At 43.0% G+C, this 3020-nt stretch overlaps 1 annotated feature.

Moving 5' to 3' along the window:
* Positions 535-829: a silencer, noted in NCBI's record as "tiled region #12992; K562 Repressive DNase matched - State 8:EnhW". NCBI's record gives its function as "represses a minimal TATA promoter and a strong SV40 promoter by Sharpr-MPRA in K562 cells {active_cell/tissue: K562}" and the evidence as "EXISTENCE:reporter gene assay evidence [ECO:0000049][PMID:27701403]".

Genomic DNA, 3020 nt, shown 5'->3' with positions numbered 1-3020 from the left:
CTTCCCAGAGCATGGCCTGGTAGGTGTGGCTGGATCTCAGTCCCTGTGTGCCACTCACCAGGATGGTTGGGCCTCTGCCTGCACAGCTGCACAGGCCACCCCAGAAACAGAAGATTGACTAGATGCAGGATGCTTCCTGTGATATTTCACAATTTATCCTGCATTAATGATATTTTCCCATACAGAGAACCATGCAGTAGTTCCCAAGGTTGGGTTCCCTGAGGGGGAATCATTCATATTTGATTTCAGAAACCCTCCCTTCAGGCCATTGCTAACTTTTGCTGTAACACCAGTCACTCTCTGAGGTTCAGTAACAGCTTCATCTTCCTCACCCTGTGCCACAACTTTAAGACTGGTTTGGGCACATCCTCTTATCATTTTTGTGTATGTCTCCTGGGGTCTCTAAGTCCCAAATCTTTCCTTAAAAAGTTATTTCTGTAGAGCACCTGATTCTGTCATTGTTCAGGTTGCCACTATGTAACCCACATGGACCTAGGGAAACTGAACAAAGGGGGCAAACGTGGGAATAAAAGACAAGAGACAAAAGAGTATATTTGGAAGAAGCGGTCAGGGGGCACTTTGCCTCTAGTGGACAAGGGCCCTGAGCTTTACACAACCCTCCGTAGTGATTAGACAAAAGAGATAGTGAGAAGGGGGGTGTGGAAGAAGGGATCAGCTGCTCAGTCCACAGTAGGCTTGCAAGACTGCATTCTCCAGATGTCCCAGTAGATAACCTCAAGGAGCCTGGTGCCAGGAAGTGATTGCCCTCAGCAAACCTTCTGGCAGTGGGAGCAGTCGTGAGTTTGCCCACATCCTGCATTCATGATAAACAGTTTGCTGTTTTATCATATAGCCTCCAGTGGAATGATGAGTTGGTCAGTCCCACGAGCCTTAGGCTCCCTAAATATCCCCCTTTCTGTTTATGAATTAATTGAAAGAATGTAAGGCCAGGGTGGGCAGCTCTCATTTTCCGATTGGTGGTCCATCCAATTTTACAGGCTATGAACAGAAGACAGAGACAAAACAATATTATTCCAAGAACTACATGTAAGATGTTAATGTAGTGCCTTAGATAAGTCCAAGGATTGAGGCTCTCCAGGCCTTGCTGGAATTTGGTCCAGTCTTCTAAAGAAGGCTGAAACTCTTGAATTTGCCTATGTAAATCAAGAATTTTGTTTTGTAATTCACCAATATCAAAGGTGATGTTAGATGTGAAAGCTCCCTGCAAATGGGCTTTCACAACGTCCCACAGATACTCACTTTGGTTATATTCTAAGTTGGTTACACAAATATGAGTGTGATTAAAATGACAATGCAATCAAGCTTTGTGCTTTTCCCCTAACCATAGAACTGTGGATTTCAACATTACCACTTTATTGGGAGAACCCACCCTCAGTATTTCAACATAGGTTCCTTCTATTTTCCATAAGTGTTGGCCAGCTGAGAAATAAAGAGAGACAGTACAAAGAGAGGAATTTTACAGCTGGGCCACCAGGGGTGACATCACATATCGGGGGAACCCACCCCCAATATTTCACGTAGGTTCGTTCTATTTTCCATAAGTGTCGGCTGGCTGAGAAATAAAGAGAAAGAGTACAAAGAGAGGAATTTTACAGCTGGGCCTCCAGGGGTGACATCACATATTGGTAGGACCGTGATGCCCACCTGAGCCGCAAAACCAGCAGGTTTTTATTAAGGATTTCAAAAGGGGAGGGGGTGTAAGAACAGGGAGTAGGTCACAAAGATCACATGCTTCAAAGGGCAAAAAGGAGAACAAAGATCACATGCTCCTGAGGAAACAGGACAGGAGAAAAATCATAAACTCCTGATAAGGGTCTATGTTCAGTGGTGCACGTATTGTCTTGATAAACATCTTAACAGAAAACAGGGTTTGAGAGCAGAAAACTGGTCTGACCAAAAATTTACTACAGCAGAGTTTTTCCCCACTCTAGTAAGCCTGAGGGTTCTGCAGGAGACCAGGGCGTATCTCAGTCCTTATCTCAACTGCACAAGACAGACATTCCCAGAGCGGCCATTTATAGACCTCCCCTCAGGAATGCATTCTTTTCCGAGGGTATTAATATTAATATTCCTTGCTAGGAAAAGAATTTAGCGATATGTTTCCTACTTGCACATCCATTTATAGGCTCTCTGCAAAAAGAAAAATATGGCTCTTTTTGCCCGACCCTGCAGGCAGTCAGACCTTATGGTTGTCTTCCCTTGTTCCATAAAAATCACCGTTATTCTGTTCTTTTTCAAGGTGCACTGATTTCATATTGTTCAAACACACGTTTTACAATCAATTTGTACAGTTAACACAATTATAACAGTGGTCCTGAGGTGATGCACATCCTCAGCTTACGAAGGTAACAGGATTAAGAGATTAAAGACAGGCATAAGAAATTGTAAAAGTATTATTTGAGAACTGATAAATATCCGTATTAAGATGAAATCTTCACAATTTACGTTCCTCTGCTGTGGCTCCAGCTGGTCCCTCTCTTCGGGGTCCCTGACTTCCCATAACACCACTTCAGTTTGTAACTCAGTGTTAATTTTATTCTGAAGTAGCCATGCTTGGTCGGCTGTGTGTGTCCAGTTCTCCATGTACTGAGCTGTTTGAATAGAATTATGCAAAGCTACAGAGGACATCACAACAGAAGTTATTAGTGCGACCAAGGAAACAATAGCTAAAATTATTATGTCTAAGGCTCTACAGACATGATGAGTAAGCTCAGTTAGAAGAAGTTTCACAAAATGCAAAGCAGGTGTGGCAGCCCAAGCCTCGGACAGATTAACAGGAATACATAGCCCAGGGATGTGGCCTAAAATCATCAAAGTAGAGATATTATGTGTTTGCAATGTGCTATGATTAATGCAGTGATATAATTGGTAAGATTTACAGGTCAATTGGGTATTGTTTACCTGGAGCTGGTCCTTCTTAGCTGTCAAAAAGACATAAGGATACACCATGGAATACTATGCAGCCATAAAAAAGGATGAGTTCATGTCCTTTGCAGGGA

Source organism: Homo sapiens, chromosome 3 (assembly GCF_000001405.40).
Source record: "Homo sapiens chromosome 3, GRCh38.p14 Primary Assembly".
Taxonomy (NCBI): domain Eukaryota; kingdom Metazoa; phylum Chordata; class Mammalia; order Primates; family Hominidae; genus Homo; species Homo sapiens.
Note: the sequence above shows the minus strand (reverse complement) of the source record. Positions and strands in the feature narration are given on the sequence as shown.